At 57.8% G+C, this 18,034-nt stretch overlaps 1 protein-coding gene across 17 annotated transcripts in view, besides 2 other annotated features; it reads left to right on the top strand.

Annotated features, from left to right (window-relative positions):
• Positions 1–10,771, top strand: part of ATP2A3 (ATPase sarcoplasmic/endoplasmic reticulum Ca2+ transporting 3) — a 40,565-nt gene extending 29,794 nt beyond the window's left edge. Inside the window, exons 18-23 of one of the 17 annotated variants that reach the window (XM_047436151.1) lie at positions 4,210–4,343; positions 5,199–5,316; positions 5,864–5,981; positions 6,317–6,404; positions 9,206–9,248; positions 9,843–10,771. In XM_047436151.1, the coding sequence (XP_047292107.1) occupies positions 4,210–4,343; positions 5,199–5,316; positions 5,864–5,981; positions 6,317–6,404; positions 9,206–9,248; positions 9,843–9,857 (516 nt within the window). In that variant the 3' untranslated portion in view covers positions 9,858–10,771. Of the gene's footprint in view, positions 1–4,209; positions 4,344–5,198; positions 5,317–5,863; positions 5,982–6,316; positions 6,418–6,605; positions 6,664–6,863; positions 7,465–8,075 lie in introns of those variants that run through there. The other 16 variants (XM_047436150.1, NM_174954.3, XM_047436152.1 and 13 more) reach the window with 16 other exon arrangements.
• Positions 3,809–4,753: an enhancer, noted in NCBI's record as "H3K4me1 hESC enhancer chr17:3833185-3834129 (GRCh37/hg19 assembly coordinates)". NCBI's record gives its function as "activates a minimal SCP1, AML or CMV promoter by ChIP-STARR-seq in naive H9 embryonic stem cells {active_cell/tissue: H9 hESC(naive)}" and the evidence as "EXISTENCE:reporter gene assay evidence [ECO:0000049][PMID:30033119]".
• Positions 5,581–6,780: an enhancer, noted in NCBI's record as "BRD4-independent group 4 enhancer chr17:3831158-3832357 (GRCh37/hg19 assembly coordinates)". NCBI's record gives its function as "activates an origin of replication core promoter dependent on BRD2, P300/CBP, MED14 and CDK7 cofactors, and independent of BRD4, by STARR-seq in HCT116 cells {active_cell/tissue: HCT116}" and the evidence as "EXISTENCE:reporter gene assay evidence [ECO:0000049][PMID:35650434]".

The following is an 18,034-nucleotide window of genomic DNA, read 5'->3' as shown; positions in this document are numbered from 1 at the left end:
GCTGAGGCAGTTGAATCACATGAACCTGGGAGGCAGCGGTTGCAGTGTGCCAAGATCATACCACTGCACTCCAGCCTGGGTGACAGAGCAAGACTCCATCTCAAGAAAAAAAAAAAAAAAAGAATCGAGGGGAGGCTGGGCATGGTGGCTGACGCCTGTAATCCTAGTACTTTGGGAGGCCAAAGTACTTGAGCCCAGGAGTTTGAGACCAGCCTGGGCAATACAGTGAGACCCCATCTCTACCAAATAAAAATAAAAATGAACCAGGCACGGTGATGTGTGCCTGTAGCTTCTTGGGAGGCTGAGGTGGGAGGATCAGTTGAGTCCAGGAGGTCACAGCTGAACTGAGCCGTGATCACACCACTGCACTTCAGCCTTGGTGACAGAGTAAGACCCTGTCTCTAGAAAAAAAAAGAACACATCCTGCCGCGGTGGCTCACGCCTGTAATCCCAGCACTTTGGGAAGCCGAGGTGGGCGGATCACTTGAGGTCAGGAGTTCAAGACCAGCCTGACCAACATGGTGAAACCCTGTCTCTACTAAAAATACAAAAATTACCCAGGTGTGGTGGCGGATGCCTGTTTTCCCAGCTACTCGGGAGGCTGAGGCAGGAGAATCGCTTGAACCCGAGAGGCGGAAGTTGCAGTGAGCTGAGATCGCACCACTGCACTCGAGCCTGGGAGACAGAGCAAGACGCAGTCTCAAAAAAGAAAAAAAGAAAAGAAAAGAAAACCAAACCAAAGGGGGTCTTGCAGGACACAGGGAATAGGACATAGGCAGGCAGGCAAAGGGAAGGAGTGGGCACAGCAGTGGCCTCACCAGTAGAAATGGGCTCCTCCAGGGCTTCCCCATGTGCCTGTGAGGCAGAAGCTCCAGCCCGACGCACTGTCTTTTTTTGTTTGTTTGTTTGAGATGGAGTCTCGCTCTGTCACCCAGGCTGGAGTGCAGTGGTGCAATCTTGGCTCACTGCAACCTCCACCTCCCGGGTTCAAGTGATTCCCCTGCCTCAGCCTCCCCATTAGCTGGGACTACAGGCGCCCACCACCATGCCCGGCTAATTTTTTGTATTTTAGTAGAGACAGGGTTTCACCATGTTGGCCAGGATGGTCTCGATCTCCTGACCTCATGATCCGCCCGCCTCAGCCTCCCAAAGTGCTGGGATCACAGGCGTGAGCCACGGCACCCGGACCCCAGCGCACCTTCTAATGAATAATTCCAGAGGCCACACCGAGACCTATGACCTGGGGAATACTGTGTGTGTGTGGCAGGTGCTTGCTGGTGAAACCCAGAAGGTCTGCACTGGGCAGGGCATTTACAGCAAGAGCAACAGACCCATTGAAACATATTTATTTATTTATTTATTTGAGACAGAGTCTCGCTCTGTCACCCAGGCTGGAGTGCAGTGGCGCGATCTCAGCTCACTGCAACCTCCGCCTCCCGGGTTCAAGCGATTCTCCTGCCTCAGCCTCCCGAGTAGCTGGGATTACAGGCACCCGCCATCATGCCTGGCTAATTTTTGTATTTTTGTAGAGATGGAGTTTCACCATGTTGGCCAGGCTGGTCTCGAACTCCTGACCTCAGGTGATCTGCCCGCCTTGGCCTCCCAAAGTGCTGGGAATACAGGCGTGAGCCACCGTGCCCGGCCGAAACATCCTGACATGATCTTGTTGGTATTTTCTTCTCTGTGTAGACGCATAAGCGTCTTAAGCATTCACATGCCCGAGTGGGAGGTGTGTGTCCCTATGTTTGTGTGTACATGTATGGATAGGCCATTAAGATCTGGCAGGGTGAGGCCCGACAACAGTGGCACAATTGGCAGGAGGATTTGGTCCTCTCGGTCACTGGGTGGGTAGAGTCAGGTTCAAAGTTCTGGAGGTTTTCCCTTCTCTATGATCAGCACCAAATAGAAACGTGTGGCTGCTCACGCCTATAATCCCAGCACTCTGGGATGCCAAGGCGGGCAGATCACTTGAGCCCAGGAATTTGAGAGCAGCCTGGACAACATGGCGAAACCCCGTCTCTACAAAAAAGACAAAACTTAGCCAACAGTGACGGCTCAGGCCTGGAGTCTCAGCTACTTGGGAGGCTGCGGTGGGACAATCACCTGAGCCCAGGAAGTCGAGGCTACAGTGAGCTGAGATCGTGCCACTGCACTCCAGCCTGGGTGATGGGAGTGAGACCTTGTCTCAAAAACAAAACAAGGCCAGGCACAGTGGCTCACGCCTGTAAGCCCAGCACTTTGGGAGGCCGAGGCGGGTGGATCACTTGAGGTCAGGAGATCGAGACCAGCCTAGCCAATATGATGAAACCCCGTCTCTACTACAAACACAAAAATTAGCCACGGGTGGTGGCGGGTGCCTGTAGTCCCAGCTACTCAGGAGGCTGAGGCAGAAGAATCGCTCGAACTTGGGAGATGGAGGTTGCAGTGAGCCAAGATCACGCCACTGCACTCCAGCCTCGGTGACAGAGTGAGACTCAGTCTCGAAAACAAAAACAAAACAAAACAAAATAAAAAGAAAACAAGACATATCCACTTGCCTCAAATGCTGGAGCTTGAGTTTTGGAGAAAACGTCCACTATCGATTTAAGAGATTATCAGATTCTCTATCTCTTTGTTAAAATATCTAGCCAGGCTTATTTCTCTTCCTGCACGAGAGAGGAGAAACGATACTCAGAGTGGCCTTATCTGCATTTGTGCAGTGTGGGAAAACGGATGTATTTATGCGACAGACAGTAGATCAGACAGCCGGGCATTTTACACGTTTTTCTTTGAGGATTATGTTCACAGCACATGGCCCCAATTTCTAATTTAAAAGATCTCCATGGCCGGGCGCGGTGGCTCACGCCTGTAATCCCAGCACTTTGGGAGGCCAAGGCGGGCGGATCACGAGGTCAGGAGTTCTAGACCATCCTGGCTAACACGGTGAAACCCCGTCTCCACTAAAAATACAAAAAATTAGCCGGGCGTGGTGGCGGGCGCCTGTAGTCCCAGCTACTTGGGAGGCTGAGGCAGGAGAATGGCGTGAACCCGGGAGGCGGAGCTTGCAGTGAGCCGAGATCATGCCACTGCACTCCAGCTCGGGTGACAGAGCGAGACTCTGTTTCAAAAAAAAAAAAAAAAGAAAAAAGATCTCCATGTTCAGATTAGACTCCCAAGAGCAGGATCTATATTTTTGGTGAACTAAGCTGGTTAACGGTTGGAAACATTCACCCTCATCCCTATAATATGGAAGAGAACAAGACAAGTTCCCCCAATACCCTCCGTTCAGCCTCTTAGCACGATTCTGTGAACAAGGTTTTTGAGCAGTAAGAAAACTCCCCTGAGGCTATAGGGGTTATCAGCCCTGAGCGCTTCATGTTAATTACAGAGAAGCTACCTGTTACAGCTGCACCTTGGCAATTCATTAGTCTCTGTCAGAAGCACACATCAGATCTGATAGAGTTCAGTTTCAGTGGCAGAAATGGAGTGAGGTATGAGGTGTAAATGGAATTTTTTTTTTTTTTTGAGACAGAGTCTTGCTCTGTCACCCAGGCTGGAGTGCAGTGACGCGATCTCTGCTCACTACAACCTCTGACCCCCGGGTTCAAGTGATTGTCCTGCCTCAGCCTCCCGAGTAGCTGGGATTACAGGCACGCACCACCACGCAGGCTAATTTTTGTATTTTTAGTAGAGACGGGGTTTCACCATGTTAGCCAGGCTGGTCCCAAACTCCTGACCTCAGGTGATCCACCCGCCTCCGCCTCCCTGGGATGACAGGCATGAGCCACCACGCCCAGCTGTAAATGGAATCTTAATAACAGTGAACAGGGCCTGCGTAGCCTTCATCTTCTATACCGCAAAGGTGAATTCCACTCCCGCATGGTTTTGTTGGTTGATTTTCACATGCATTTCCCTATTCAGTGATCTCCAGGCTCCCGCTAGCCTCCCCAGGCTAATGCCAGCTGTTCTCCTTCTGAGCCGCTGCACTCCTGCTCCAGAACGTCTGCCTTTCCCACGCTGTGCCCTTGCTTCTCCCTGGCACGGTGCAGCTCTCCCCACCGCCGCCCCGACCCCGCACCCCTCCCGGGATCCCCAGCCCACCCCACGGCAGTGTTTTGTGTGCTGGTTGTGCCCAGGCGTGGGCCAAGGGCAGGATGAGGCTTCCCTCCTCCCACCCACCAGCCCCTCGCCTGACCTGCCGCTCTCTCTGACCTGCCACGGTGCCCCCAGAGGAACTTCCTGAAGTGCTCCGAAGACAACCCGCTCTTTGCCGGCATCGACTGTGAGGTGTTCGAGTCACGCTTCCCCACCACCATGGCCTTGTCCGTGCTCGTGACCATTGAAATGTGCAATGCCCTCAACAGGTAGGCTGGGCGCAGGGCCTGGAGCTGGGGCCGAGGAGTGGGGGCTGAGGGCTGGGGGTTCCAGTATCAGTGTCTGAGGGTCAGGGGTCCAGGTGGGCTGGGCGCAGGGCCTGGAGCTGGGGCCGAGGAGTGGGGGCTGAGGGCTGGGGGTTCCAGTATCAGTGTCTGAGGGTCAGGGGTCCAGGATTGGGGTCTGTGGGTCAAGAGGGTCCAAGATTGGGGTCTGATGTTTGGGGGGTTCAGGATTGGGATCAGAGGTTCAAGGGGGTCCAGGATTGGGGTCCAGAGGTCAAGAGCATCCCAGACTGGGGTCTAGGGGTCAAGAGAGGTCCAGGATTGGGGTCTGGGGTCAAGGGGTTCAGGTTGGGGTCTGATGTTTGGGGGGTTCAGGATTGGGATCAGAGGGTCAAGGGTCCAGGATTGGGTTCCAGGGGTCAGGGGAGTCCAGGACTGAGGTCTGGGAGTTAGAGGGGTCCAGAACAAAGGTCTGGGGCCAAGCGGGGTCCAGGATTAGGGTCTGGGGGTCAGTGGGGGTCCAAGATTGGGATCCAAAGATTTGGGGATCTGGATTGGGGCCTAAGGGTCAAAGGGGCCCAGAGAGGATTCTGAGAGTTCATGGGGACCGGAATTGGGGCCCAGGAGACAAAGAAGGCTGAAACTGGGGTCCAAAGAAATCGGCCAAGATTAGGTCTGAGGGGCAGAGAAAGGGGTCCCAGCCCGGGACAGGCCCTGGCAGGCCGAGCGGGCAACAGCAATGCACCGCTAGAGAAGTGGTGAGGCTCCTCCCATGGGGGTGGGTGCCTGGCAGGGCCTCCCTGCACCCCGGCCTAAGGGGAGCACCCTGTGCCCTGGCAGCGTCTCGGAGAACCAGTCGCTGCTGCGGATGCCGCCCTGGATGAACCCCTGGCTGCTGGTGGCTGTGGCCATGTCCATGGCCCTGCACTTCCTCATCCTGCTCGTGCCGCCCCTGCCTGTGAGTCACCCCGCCTGCCCCACTGCCCTGGTCCCTGGACATCACAGGCCCTGGGCTGGTCACTGGACCTCTCTGGCCCCCCTGCAATGGAAACTACCTGGAGGAGAGGGAGGTGAGAGGTCTGGCCAGCCACCACCTCCAGCTGTGGCCCCACCTTCAGGAGCTCCCAGACCTGGGGGACGGAAGAGGGGGAAACCCCTTGCTGAGGGGACTGTGCCCAGGCTGGGGTGGGAGGAAGGACGAGCTTTCCCAGGGCAGAATCCTCCCGCCTCCCAACAGGATGGATGGGAGTTGACCCAGTGGGCAAGGGCAGAGGTGGGCCCTTGAGGCAGAGGAAGCTGAGCGGACAAAGATTGGGGGGTGCAGCTGAACAGACAAAGATCGGGGGGTGCAGCTGAGTGGACAAAGATCGGGGGTGCATCCAGGGGGTTCTTAGGAGCGCTCATGAAGAGTCCATCAGAGCCCAGGTGGATAAGGCCAGCAGATGGCTGGGGCACGGGACAGCCAGTCCTTCCTTTAACCAAACCTCCCTTCCCCTCCCCGCCAGCTCATTTTCCAGGTGACCCCACTGAGCGGGCGCCAGTGGGTGGTGGTGCTCCAGATATCTCTGCCTGTCATCCTGCTGGATGAGGCCCTCAAGTACCTGTCCCGGAACCACATGCACGGTGAGTGGGAGGCCCCGTCCCGCCTCCAGCCTGCCTCCCCGCCCGCCTCTGCTCCTGGGCTGCAGTGGACGCTGTGGGTGTGGAGCGCAGAGCCTCTCTGTCTGCACATCGGGGAGGCGTTCTCGGATCACCAAGTGGAGGGTGTGAAGGGGCTCTGGTGGCTGGGTCCCAAGGTGTCCGCAGGGTCTTGCACTGCAGGGGACCTGGGCTCACTGGGCCAGCAACGGGAGCACCTCTTGGGCCACACTGCCTCACTGTCTTCACCTGCCACCCCCTACATGGCCAGGGCACTGTGTGCTCTTCTGGGCCTCAGCCTCTGACCCCTCTGCACCCAGCCTGTCTTTATCCAGGCCTTCTCAGGACAGTCTCGCAGGCCTGGAGTAGGCAGCCGCTGACCACCTCTTGGACCCCAGACCACACCGGGTTGGCCTCTTTGGTATCACCTTGTGGGTGGGTCAAGGGGAGGGTTGTTTCTGAGCTCACAGCTCTGGGTCTGCCTTAACCCCGGAGTGGAGAGGACAGGATGGCAGGTGTCGGGCTGGAGAGAAGTGGGCTGGGACATGGGGTCCATCCACCTGCCTCTGCCAGGTGGGCTCTGAGAGTGGGTGATTCTGAACTTCCAAGGGCCAGGGACACAGCATCGTCTCGCTGTCAGAGCTGCTCAGAGAGGGAGGAAGCAGGGGTGAGCTCCGGTTCCTGGGAATTTGCGCAGAGGCGGTGGCCGTATGGCTGGACTGCTGTGCAGGGGCCTAGGTTGGGCTGGGCAGTGGCTGAGGCCTGCACTGGGGCAGCTGGGTCGTTGGGGGCCACCTCTGGCAGGAATGTGCCCCAGGGGAGTGGGTGGAGGGACTATAAATAGATCACGCGTCTGTCATTCCCTAGGGGCTGAGCAAGGGAGCTGGCCTGTCCAGGGAGTGGCCAGACACATGTAGGGGCTCACTCGAGGGTGCAGGTGGGCACTCAGCCAAGGCAAGCCTGCTGGGGCCAATGGGTGGGGGTGGGGGGAGCTGAGCAAGGCCATTCTGCCCCCTGTCTGGTTCTTTCTGGCCAATGCTCTGTGACAGCCCTGGGGAGACACTGGAAACTCCCATCCATGGGGGCCCAAGGCATCCCTGCACTGGCCGGAGCACCGGGCCGGTCCGCCAGGAAATCCTCCAGCCGCCCTTGACCACACTCACTCACCTGCACAGCCAGGCCTCTGGGCCGTCCTTGACCACACTCACTCACCTGCAGAGCCAGGCCTCTGGGGACATGACAGCTCAGGTGGCTTGTCTTCCTCGGGAGAGTTCCCAAATGGCCACAACTGCCTAGGAGCTCAGCAGATTTTCTTGAGAAAACTTAAAAGTGAGAAAATTATGCCCATGGCTAAAATGTCTCAGCCAGCACGGAAAAGCCTGTGTCTCAGATGCCTTTCAGCATTGGCTGCTGGATGGTGGAGGATTCCCCAGGCCTAAAGAGCGGGAGGGTCCTAGCGGGAGGGGACAGGCTAGGAGGGCTGGGAGGGAGAGATTCCTGCTGGGCCAGGAGTGAGGGGGAGTTTCTCCAGGCTTTGAGGTTAAAGCAGTGGTTGGAAAGAACAGGATTGAACCTGGTGGAACAGGGCTGGGTGAGCACAGATGTTGACACTCAGCATGCAGGGCAGAGGGGTGAGGCCCGGCAGGGGCAAGGGCCTTGAGTGCCAAGGTAGAGACCCTGGACATTGTCCTCAGGGCAGTGGGGAAGCACGGGAGGAGTGTAAGCACGGTGCGGACTGTGTCAACCATGGAGGACAGGCAAGAGGGGGTGAGACTAACGGGCCGGGTGCAGTGGCTCACACCTGTCATCCCAGCACTTTGGGAGGCCGAGGTGGGCAGATCACCTGAGTCAGGAGTTAGAGACCAGCCTGGCCAACATGGTGAAACCCCATCTCTACTAAAGATACAAAAATTAGCTGGGCGTGGTGGCAGGTGCCTATAATCCCAGCTACTCGGGAGGCTGAGGCAGGAGAATCACTTGAACCTGGGAGGTGGAGGTTGCAGTGAGCTGAGATTGAGCTACTGCACTCCAGCCTGGGTGACAGAGCAAAACTCTGTTCCCCCACTCTCCCCCAAAAAGAGAGGGTGAGACTAACACCAGGAGGTGGGCGAGCGGCATTGAACAGATCTGGGGAGCTGGCCCCAGAAAGCACCTCCACCTCCACCTCCTTGAGATGTTGACGGTGGTCCCTGTGAAGTTTGGCTTGGAAAGGTGGTGCCTGGCTGCTGGAGGACAGACACAGGCTGGGTACCTGCGGCTCCATCTGAGGGGTGGGGTGGAGGCACCCCGAGGAATGTGCTCACTGGAAGCCCAGACAGCCCTGCCCAGCGCTACTGCAGTCCCTGGGGCCTCCTAAAGCCAGACGGGGCGGGGGTGAGAGAGGGACCCTTTGCGCTCCCAAGCCAGCTGGGTGGCCTTTTAGGGAAGTTTTTCTGAAGCCTGATGCTTGTGGCTTCCCCGTGATTTATGTCATTTACGAGGGATGTGTCCTGGGGAGAATTCTGGATCCTGGGTCAGCCCTGGGGGCTGGGGGCGGTCCTCTCACCCCACCTCCTGGCTCTGCCCAGGTGTGGCTGAGCAGTTGTCAGGGGAGGCGTGGGGGCTGGGCTGTGGTGGTTGTATTGGGGACAGATCTGGGAGGTTACAGGCGGGCTTAGACTTTACTCTGAGGACAGTGAGGAACCATGAAATGGGGTGTTGGGACTGGATTTCGGCTTTTGCTTGATGCTAGGGGCAGAAGTATGATGGGACGGTAAGACTGGGGCTGGGGGCAGGGCGGCAGGCCTTGAGGCCTTGAGGCCTGGTTGGGGAAGGCAGTGGGAGAGATGAGCTCTCGCAATTTGGGTGAAATCAGGCCTGGGTGTGTGTGATGGGCAAGAGAAGCAAGGATGAGCCTGGTGTCTGAACCTTACGATAATGGGTGGTGATTCCCCAAAATGAAAACCAGGAGAGTATGTACTGGAGGGTTTGGGGGTGCTGATGGAACAGTGGAGTGAAGGAGGCGTGGGGGACGTTGCGGGGATGGATCCTGGATGCAGCTTGGGGGGTCCGGTGGGGCTGGGGTAGACTGAGGTCTGGACTAAGGGAGGCCTTGGGAGCCTGGGGCTGTCCTGGGAGAAGTGGAGGATGGAAGGGGCTGGAAGGAAGCTGTCTGGATGTGTGCCCTTACACATACATCTTAACGCGCTCTTGGGTTTTTCTTCCAGAAGAAATGAGCCAGAAGTGAGCGCTGGGAACAGAGTGGAGTCTCCGGTGTGTACCTCAGACTGATGGTGCCCATGTGTTCGCCTCCGCCCCCCACCCTTGCCACCACACTCGCCCACTTGCCCACCGGGTCCCGCCGGATAAATGACAGGCCCGAGGTCAGAATGGCCATCCCCGGGCCCCGTCCTGGGGTCTCTGTCCCCACTTCCTTCTGGCCTGGGAGGTCTGTAATTCCTGTCTCCTGGACTCTCCTGGGAAGTTCCCTGCTCTGCAGCTCTGGCCCAGGAGCTGCAGGCTGGGAGGGGGCAGCCAAGAAGCCGGAGCTGGCAGCATACCCAGAGATCCGGGGCCCCCCCACCCCCAAATCACGAGTGCAGCTGGAGCTTGCTCCCCCTTGTTCGGAAGCTGGACGTTCACTTGGTGACTGGTGCCTCTGCACTGACGGAGGACTCTGGGGGTCCTTCTTACCGGCTCTGACCTCTCTCTTCGTGCCTGGTCTGGGACTGGGTCAGCCCTGGGGGATCAGAAGGGGCCATCTGGGCCCAGCTGTGTACAGCGAGGGTGGGCAGCCCCCTCCACTCCACTCTGCTTCCACAAAGTCGGCTCCCGAGAGCTCGAGGCTGCTTCTGTTTATATGTGCAGGGCCCGGGCGGGTGAAGGGTCAGAGAGACGGACACAAGGAGCCGGCAGGAGGGCGGAGCGAGGATGTCCTTTCCCGGGAGACAAGTCGGGAAAGCCTGGCTGGACTGCCTCAGCCCCGCGCGCCTCCTGGACTCAGGGTTCCCCGTCCTGAGCTCGGGAGATGTTCAGAGTCACACTGCCGCCCGGTCTGCCACGCAGAGGTCCAACTTGCCACCCGCGTCCCTGGTACCTGAGACCACCGACATCCTCAGGTTCCTGACCGTGGCGCCCTTCTACCCAGCCCAGTGTGCGGCCGCCGCGCTGTCTGCACAGCTGGGGGCCTCTGAGCCTGGTGGGCTTCCTGGACTCTTGGCCTCACTCCTTGCCCCCTCCCCACGACACCCATGAGCCGAAAGGATGTCACTAAGGATGGCTGATTCCCCAAGGGCACCCGCTCTCCCTCCCTCCCTGCTGGAGGAACACGTCATATCAGATGAGAGGAAGATGGCCTCTGATGGACAGAATTTTTCTCTTAACTCAGCTTTTGCTACTTTGGCAAAAACTAGCGAGGGGTAGCAGAAACCTGCACCAAGGATTGTCCCTATGTCTTGGCCACTCCTAGAGCGTGTGCAGACTGATGATTTTATATGTAAATCAAGACTCACATCCCTTTCCTAGTCCCCCACATCCAAAGCCCCTCAGCCTGCCTTGCAGACCAATGGGCTCCATGTTCTGTAGCCCCCTCCCCTACGCCTCACCCCTCCTCCCTCTCACAGGTTCTGGGCGGCCAGTGAGAGAAACGCAGTGGGGGAGGCAGGGAGTCTGGTGCCTGCAGAGATTCTCTGCTTCTTTCCTGGGGGGAGGTGGGGAGGTCTTAGCAGGAGCGGGCCCTGTACCCACCTGCTGACCTGCTGTTTGGTAGAGAAATAAAGGTTGTGTGACTGGGGGAACGGAGGATCCTCAGCGTCTGTTTTCCTGGGGAGTGGTCCCGCCGTCTCCACCTATGGGGCGTCTGCCTGGGGCCCTACCACCTGCCCATACCACCTGCCCATACCACCTGCCCACACCCAGTCCAGGAAACGCTGAGCAAAGGTCTGGGGTTCACACATCACCAGGATTGCTCCCTTGGCCCCCAAGACAAGGCTCTGGAGAGCCACACTCGAGTGGCAGGTGCAGCGCCCGCAGAGCCTCCCAGCTTGGGATGCTCGCTCCTCACAGGGACGGTGTTGACAATTTGTGCACGAGTTCAAGGCCTTTTGTGCATTTTATTTTATTTGTTTATTTATGTATTTATTTGAGACAGAGTCTCGCTCTGCCACCCAGGCTGGAGTGCAGTGGTGCGATCTAGGTTCACTGCAACCTCCACCTCCCGAGTAGCTGCCTCAGCTTGAAGGGTAGCTGGGAGGGCATGCGCCACCACAGCCAGATAATTTTTGTATTTTTAGTAGAGATGGGGTTTCACCACGTTGGCCAGGCTGGTCTCAAACTCCTGACCTCAGGTGATCCGCCTACCTTGCTCGGCCTTCCAAGGTGCCGGGATGACAGGTGTGAGCCACCTCGCCCAGCCCCTTTTATGCATTTTATGATCTGCATGTCACCCCCTGAGGAAACAGCCTGGGAGAGTTCCATGATTGGGCCTGGGGCAGGGCTGGGCCCGGAGCCTGAATCTCAGGGGCCCCTTGCATCCCACAGAGGAGCCTCAACCCCAGCTCTTCTGTAGGTCCTACAGCTCTCCTGCTCTATCTCCCTCTCCTCCTCAAATCCCAGGATCCCATCCACCTTTGGCCCTTCCAAGCCCAGCTCAAATGCACCTCACACCTACCACCTCCCCAGGGCTTCCCTCAGCTCACAATACCCAGGGACCTCTGCGAGGCTGCCTGGGGTGAGCCGGCTCGCACAGGTGGCCCTACCTTCCTGGAAGCCGGGGCTCAGGGAAGGGAGTCGCCATGGCCCTCGTTTCACCAAAACCCATCATGAAGGCTTAGTATCTAATCCTTCACTCAGCTATCCTGGGAAGGAGACGCAGGCCCTGCCCACAGGGCCAGAGGCAGGATTGTCTACATAATTTGCAGGGCCCATTGCAAAATGAAAACCTGGAACCCTTTGACCAAAAATGACAAGAATTACAAAGACAGAAGAACATTCAATATGATGGCCGGACGTGGTGGCTCATGCCTGTAATCCCAGCACTTTGGGAGGCCGAGGCAGGTGAATGACTTGAGGTCAGGAGTTCGAGACCAGCCTGGCCAACATGGCAAAACCCCGCCTCTACTAAAAATACACAAATTAGCCAGGCGTGGTGGCGGGCACCTGTAGTCCCAGCTACTCAGAAGGCTGAGGCAGGAGAATCGCTTGAACCCAGGAGGCGGAGGTTGCAGTGAGCCGAGATCACATCATTGCACTCCAGCCTGGGTGACAGAGAGAGACTCTGTCTCAAAAAAAAAGAAAAAAAAAAGAACATTAAAATTCACCAAACCGTGTGCTTAAAATGGGTGCATTTTATTGTTTGTGAATTACACTGCAGTACAGTTTGACTTAAAAGGGAAAAAAAGAGGTAGCCACAGAAGAGGTGGGTGGGCACATGGCTGGCATGTTGGTGTGGTGGTGTCAGAACCCTCAGGACTGGAGAGGAGTGCTCAGTGTTTGGGGGCAGGGCCAGCCCCCAGGAGTTCTTAATCCAGGGCAGAGAGAGGCCGGGAATGAGGGAAAATGGCCCCAGCACAGAGCGTTTTTGAGCCCGGGGCCTGGTGCAGGTACTTGGATCACACGTCCATGATGCCAGCTTGTCGGTGGAGGCAGCACCCCCACCCCCAACCCAGGAGCTCCCAGGTTCCTTAGCAGGGGGCCTGGGGTTGGCGCCGAGCTCACAGCAGGAGCAGGGTAGGCAGAAGGCGCCTCCCTCCACATGGTCCACCCGTAAGACCTCTCATACCACAGGACCTTCTCATACACTTCATCTCCCGGTGTCTTCAGCCAGCCCTGGGAGATGGGCCAGGCAAGGGCTAGGGCTCCATTTACGGATGAGGAGCCCGAGGCCCAGAATGGGCGGGCCATGCCTTCCCCAAGGCCCTCTGACGATCTGAGCATCTAGCTTGCATCACGGGGGCCAGGCAGGCTGTGAGGCTCAGATGGGCTGGGGGTCCTGCGGACAAGGCGGTCGGCTCCAGGCTTCCCAGCCACGCTGCCTCCACCCCCGCCCAGGCCGGCCTGAGTCCAGCTCCGTCCAGCCCACAGCACGGAGCCGACGGGCCAGGATGGGGCGGCCAAGGTAAACAGAGGTCTCCTTACCTCACAGCTGGTCACCCAGGAGGGAATTCCGGGGCAAGCCCTGGCACGCTTCTAACTGGCAACTACCAAAACCCTCCTGGGGACCCTGCCCCTCCAGAGACCAGGACTCTGTGCTCCCCAGACCCCACGCTCCAGTCCTCACAGTGGTGGGAGGGACCCCGGTGGGGCTGTGTTAGGAGAAATGGAGGCACAAAATCACAGCAGGGAGGAGAAGGGAAGCTGGACATGCGCACAAAGGCCCCCGAGTGTCCACAGCGGCTTCACCCAGCACAGGCCTCAGATATCCATGAACAGATGAAGGATAAGCAAGCTGCAGTACGTCCACGCAACCGAGAGGAACCAACCACTGATGCACGCAACTGCCACCCGAAGCCTAAACCGCTGGGCTGAGCAAAGGCGGCCAGACGCGAAGGAGCTCCTCCTGCCTGATTCCACCTCCCTAACGCTCTGGACGAGACTGCACAAATCTGCAGTGACAGAGCGGGTCAGTGATTGCCTGGGCCTGGGGGTGCTGAGGAAAGATGGACCACAAACGGGAGGCGGGAGTGTTCTAGGCTGATGGATTTGGAGGGGGCTGGTGCATTTGTCAAAACTCATCAAACCATGTGCTTAAAATGGGTGCGTTTTATTGTATGCGAATTACACCCCAAGACAGTTGGATTTAAAGAAAAAAAAAAAAAAAGGCTGGGCATTGTGGCTCACGCCTGTAATCCCAGCACTTTGGGAGGCCGAGGCGGGCGGATCACGAGGTCAGGAGTTCGAGACCAGCTTGGCCAACATGGTGAAACCTGGTCTCTACTAAAAATACAAAAATTAGCCAGGTGTGGTGGCGGGTGCCTGTAATCCCAGCTACTCCGGAGGCTGAGGCAGGAGAATCACTTGAACCCAGGAGGCAGAGGTTGCAGTGAGCCAAGATCATGTCACTGCATTCCAGCCTGGATGACAAGAGTGAGACTCCACCTCAAAAAAAAAAAAAAAAAAAAAGAAAGAAAGAAAAGAAAAGAAAAAAAGAAAAAGAAACAGAAAAAAAGAGGTGAGTGCCAGAGAGGAGGTGGATGTGGCCACCATGCTGGTGTAGAGGTGTCAGCAGGATTGGGAGCTGGCGGTGGGCGGGGGCAGGTCTCCCACCTGAGTGCTCAGCACTGGGTGTTTGAGGGGCAGGGCCCAGCCCAGCCCCCAGGAGTCCTCTTTATTTTTATTTAATTAATGTATTATTTTGAGACAGGCTCTCGCTGTGTCACCCAGGCTGGAGTGCAGTAGCATGATCACGGCTTGCTGCAGCCTCCACCTTTCAGGCTCAGGAGATCCTCCCACCTCAGCCTCCCAAGTAGCTGGGACTATGGGCATACACCACCATGCTCAGCTAATTTTTTTTCTGTTTTGTTTTGTTTTGTTTTTTGAGACTGAGTTTCACTTTATCCCCCACGCTGGAATGCAGTGGCTCGATTTCGGCTCACTACAATCTCCCTGTCCTGGGTTCAAGTAATTCTCCTGCCTCAGCCTCCCTAATAGCTGGGATTACAGGCTCCCGCCACCACTCCCAGCTAATTTTTGTCTTTTTAGTAGAGATGGGGTTTCACCATGTTGGCCAGGCCAGTCTTGAACTCCTGACCTCAGGTGGTCTGCCCGCCTCGGCCTCCCAGGCAGCTATGGGCTATAAGCATGCTCCACCATGCCCGCCTAATTTTTTTTTCTGTATATTTTGTAGAGACAGGATTTCCCTATGTTGCCCAGGCTGGTCTCGAACTCCTGGGCTCAAGCAATCCTCCTGCCTCAGCCTCCCGAAGTGCGGAGATTACAGACACGAGCCACCAGCCCTGGCCTCCCAGGAGTTCTCTTAATCCAGGGCAGAGAGAGGCCGAGGATGAAGGGAAATGGCCCAGAGGGATGGAGGAGGACCAGGAGGGTGGGACATTTTAAACACACGGGAGGGGGGCTTCGGCCAGGTCACACCCAGAGTTGGGGGATAGAAGAGGCCTGAGAAGCAGCCCGGGTCCAGGCAATGGGAGACGCCAAACATGGGGGCCCACGCTGTACTCCCCAGGCCTCCCCGTAGCTGTCGGCCCTCCCCCAACCTCCCCTTGACAGCCTCTGCCAGGCTGGCCCAGGGCCCTGCTCCAGTCAGGGTCTAAGGGGCTATGTGGCATTAGAGGAATCTCTGGCCCAGATGGCATCACGGTTTGACTGGGGTATGGTTGCGGCATCCTCGGGCCCCTGAGTGACTAAGGAGACCTGTTGGAACCCGTGTCTGCTCCCTCGAGGGCTCCAGCCGGCCTCCAGCCTCCACGCTGCACAGAGCCGCTAAATTTAGCCAGGCCGGGGAGGCTGTCCCGGGGCCGAGTGCTTGGCAGCAGGGCTGTCTCCCTACAAGGCCCGGCCCAGTACCCGAGTCGGCCACCCGGTCTTTGGGCTTATAAGGCAGGACTGGCGGCTCTCAAGTGCTGGAGGCTTCGAGTGGGCCCGGGGCCAAGCCCTCAGACTTTGGGGAGCCTCCTTCTCAGCCACCAGCAGACATGGGAACTACTCACTGTGTGACCATGGGCCAGGGACTCAATCCCCACAGCCTCAGTCTCCTGATCTGTCAGATGTGGGCTCTAGGACCTGCCTCATGGGCCTGTTGTGAGGAAAACCCTGCCAGACTCCAGAGGGTGGAGCTCTGGCCTCTGTCCTGCCCACCTCAGCCCCAAACACCCAGAACAAAGGCAGGTGTCTGTCCCTGAGGACGCTGGGGCAGGGCCCAAGGGTGAGAAATCACAGCCTTTGGATCAGAAAGATGCATTTTAGAGCCAGTGAAAGAGACATTGACCCCGACAGCTGGCTGTCTTGCTCTTGTGGAGTTATCAGCAGCAGGAAAATAAATGTAGGTCCCTGGGGTACACTGTGGATATGATAAGATCCCCAAATGAGACGGTGCTCCAGGCCAGTCCACTTTCTCAGGGCCAGGGCCAGGGCCTAGGCTGTAACTGAATCACGTGTGTGTGCTCTGTCAGTCCATCAATCTGTCCAAGCAAGTCTGTCAGTCCATCCGTCAATCTCTCTGTCAGCAAGTGTGGCTCCTTGGAGGAGGAGGAGGAGGAGGAGGAGGAGGAGGAGGAGGAGGAGGAAGAAGACATGGTGGTGATGTGAGAGGAAGAACTTCCTGATCTTCCTTCCTTCCCTCCCTCCCTCTCTCCTCCCTCCCTCCCTCTTCCTTCCTCCCTCCCTTTTTTCCCTCCCTCCTTCTTCTTTCCTCCCTCCTTCCCTCCCTCCTTCCTTTTTTCCTTCCCTCCCTCCCTCCCTCCCCTTCCCTTCCTTTCTCCTCCCTCCCTCCCTTCCTTCTTTCCTTTACTCCTTCCCTCCCTCCCTCCCTCCCTTCCCTCCCTCCCTCCCCTCCCTCCCTCCCCTCCCTCTCTTCCCTTCCCTCCCTTCCTTCCCTTCCTTCTCCCTCCCTCCCTTCCTCCCTCCTTCCTCCCTTCCCTTCCCTTTCCTCCTCCCTCTCTCCCTCCCTTCCCTTCCCTTCCTTTTCCCTCCCTCCCTCCCTTCCTCCCTCCGTTCCCTCCCACCCCACCCACTCTCTAGAACGCATATCAGGGAGAAGGGTGGCTGAAAAGGGACCCAGAATGGCCCACACAGTCTCAGCACCCACCCCACTCCCCATCACAAGCAGCTGTGTCCTGGTGCCTCCCATTCCAATGGCCACAGGGGCAGCTGGGAAAGGAACTGTCTAGGGTCAAGGTCAGGCCAAGGGGAGACGTGGCCACCACAGTTCTGGCTCCCAGCATCTCTGGATTTTCTTTAGAAAAGCCCATGACACCCACTGGATTAGCAGAAACTCCGCGAGGGGTGAGGCTGATCTACTTGACAAGGAGAGACTGACCTGGGTGCTGGAAGGGGCCATGGGCAGCCCTCTGTGGGTGACCCCCATTCAGACAGGCTGCCGGGATTCCCAGCCCCAGGGCCTGGCTCCCTGCCCAGAGCACTTCCAGCTCATGGCTCGCCAGCAAGAAGACTCCTTATCAGCCTTAAGGGTGGGGCGGCTCCGACGACAGGGCCGTGGGGGCTCGCCAGGGAGGCCCCTGCTTCCAGCTTGAACCTCCAGTACCACCCCGGGTGAGCTTGGGCAACTCATTTCTCTTCTCTGAGCTTGGTTTTCTCATCTTCAAAACGAGGGGTGGGGCTGGGGAGGCCTCCAGCTCTGAGGAGCCAACGTGGGACCCTCTGCCCACCCCAAACCCCTGTGTTCAGGGCCCGAGCTGGGGGTGGGAAGGGAAGGCAGGGACTGCAGAGGTGCTGTGCCCCAGACTCAATGGTGGCCTCCAGTTCTCTGTCCCGTGTTGCTGAGACCCATCCCCTGTGAGCCTCGACCTAGAAGGAACAGCCCTTATTACCCCAATTTACAGATGAGGAAGCAGGCTCGGAGAGGCAAGGTGACACCCAGCCCCCACAGCCAAGAAGTGGCAGAGCCAGGGATCTCCGAGGTCAGGCTCTCTCGGCTGGTCTTGGGCCCCCCATGGCACTGGTGACGGATGTGGTGCTGGTCTTGGCTGGGCACCTGCCACCTCTCTCCCTCTGATGGTGGCCCCGGCAGGACAGACAGTGGGAGAGGAGAGCTGGGGGATAGAGATGCCAGCTCAGCACCGAGGTTGACCGGGCACAGGCCAGGCTGGAACTCAGAGCCTCCTTCCTCTCTGCCTTGCTCGCTGCAGACCCCCAGGGACGAAGCAGCCAACCCTGGTGGGGGAGGGTGGAGGGTGGTGGATGGGGCTGGGGATGGAGGTCTCATTTTGGCAGTGGAGGGGAGTCGCGGGGAGTCCCCTAATCTGAGGAGACTCCAGCTTCCCCCAGGCCCTGGCCAGAGCTCCATCTTGCCAGGTTTTGGGGGGAGGATAACTTGAGGAGTCGACTGAGAGCTTTATCTTTGCCCCTGTGACGGGTGGCCTGTGGTT

The sequence above is a fragment of the Homo sapiens genome, chromosome 17, assembly GCF_000001405.40.
Source record: "Homo sapiens chromosome 17, GRCh38.p14 Primary Assembly".
In the NCBI taxonomy this organism is placed as follows: Eukaryota; Metazoa; Chordata; class Mammalia; order Primates; family Hominidae; genus Homo; species Homo sapiens.
Note: the sequence above shows the minus strand (reverse complement) of the source record. Positions and strands in the feature narration are given on the sequence as shown.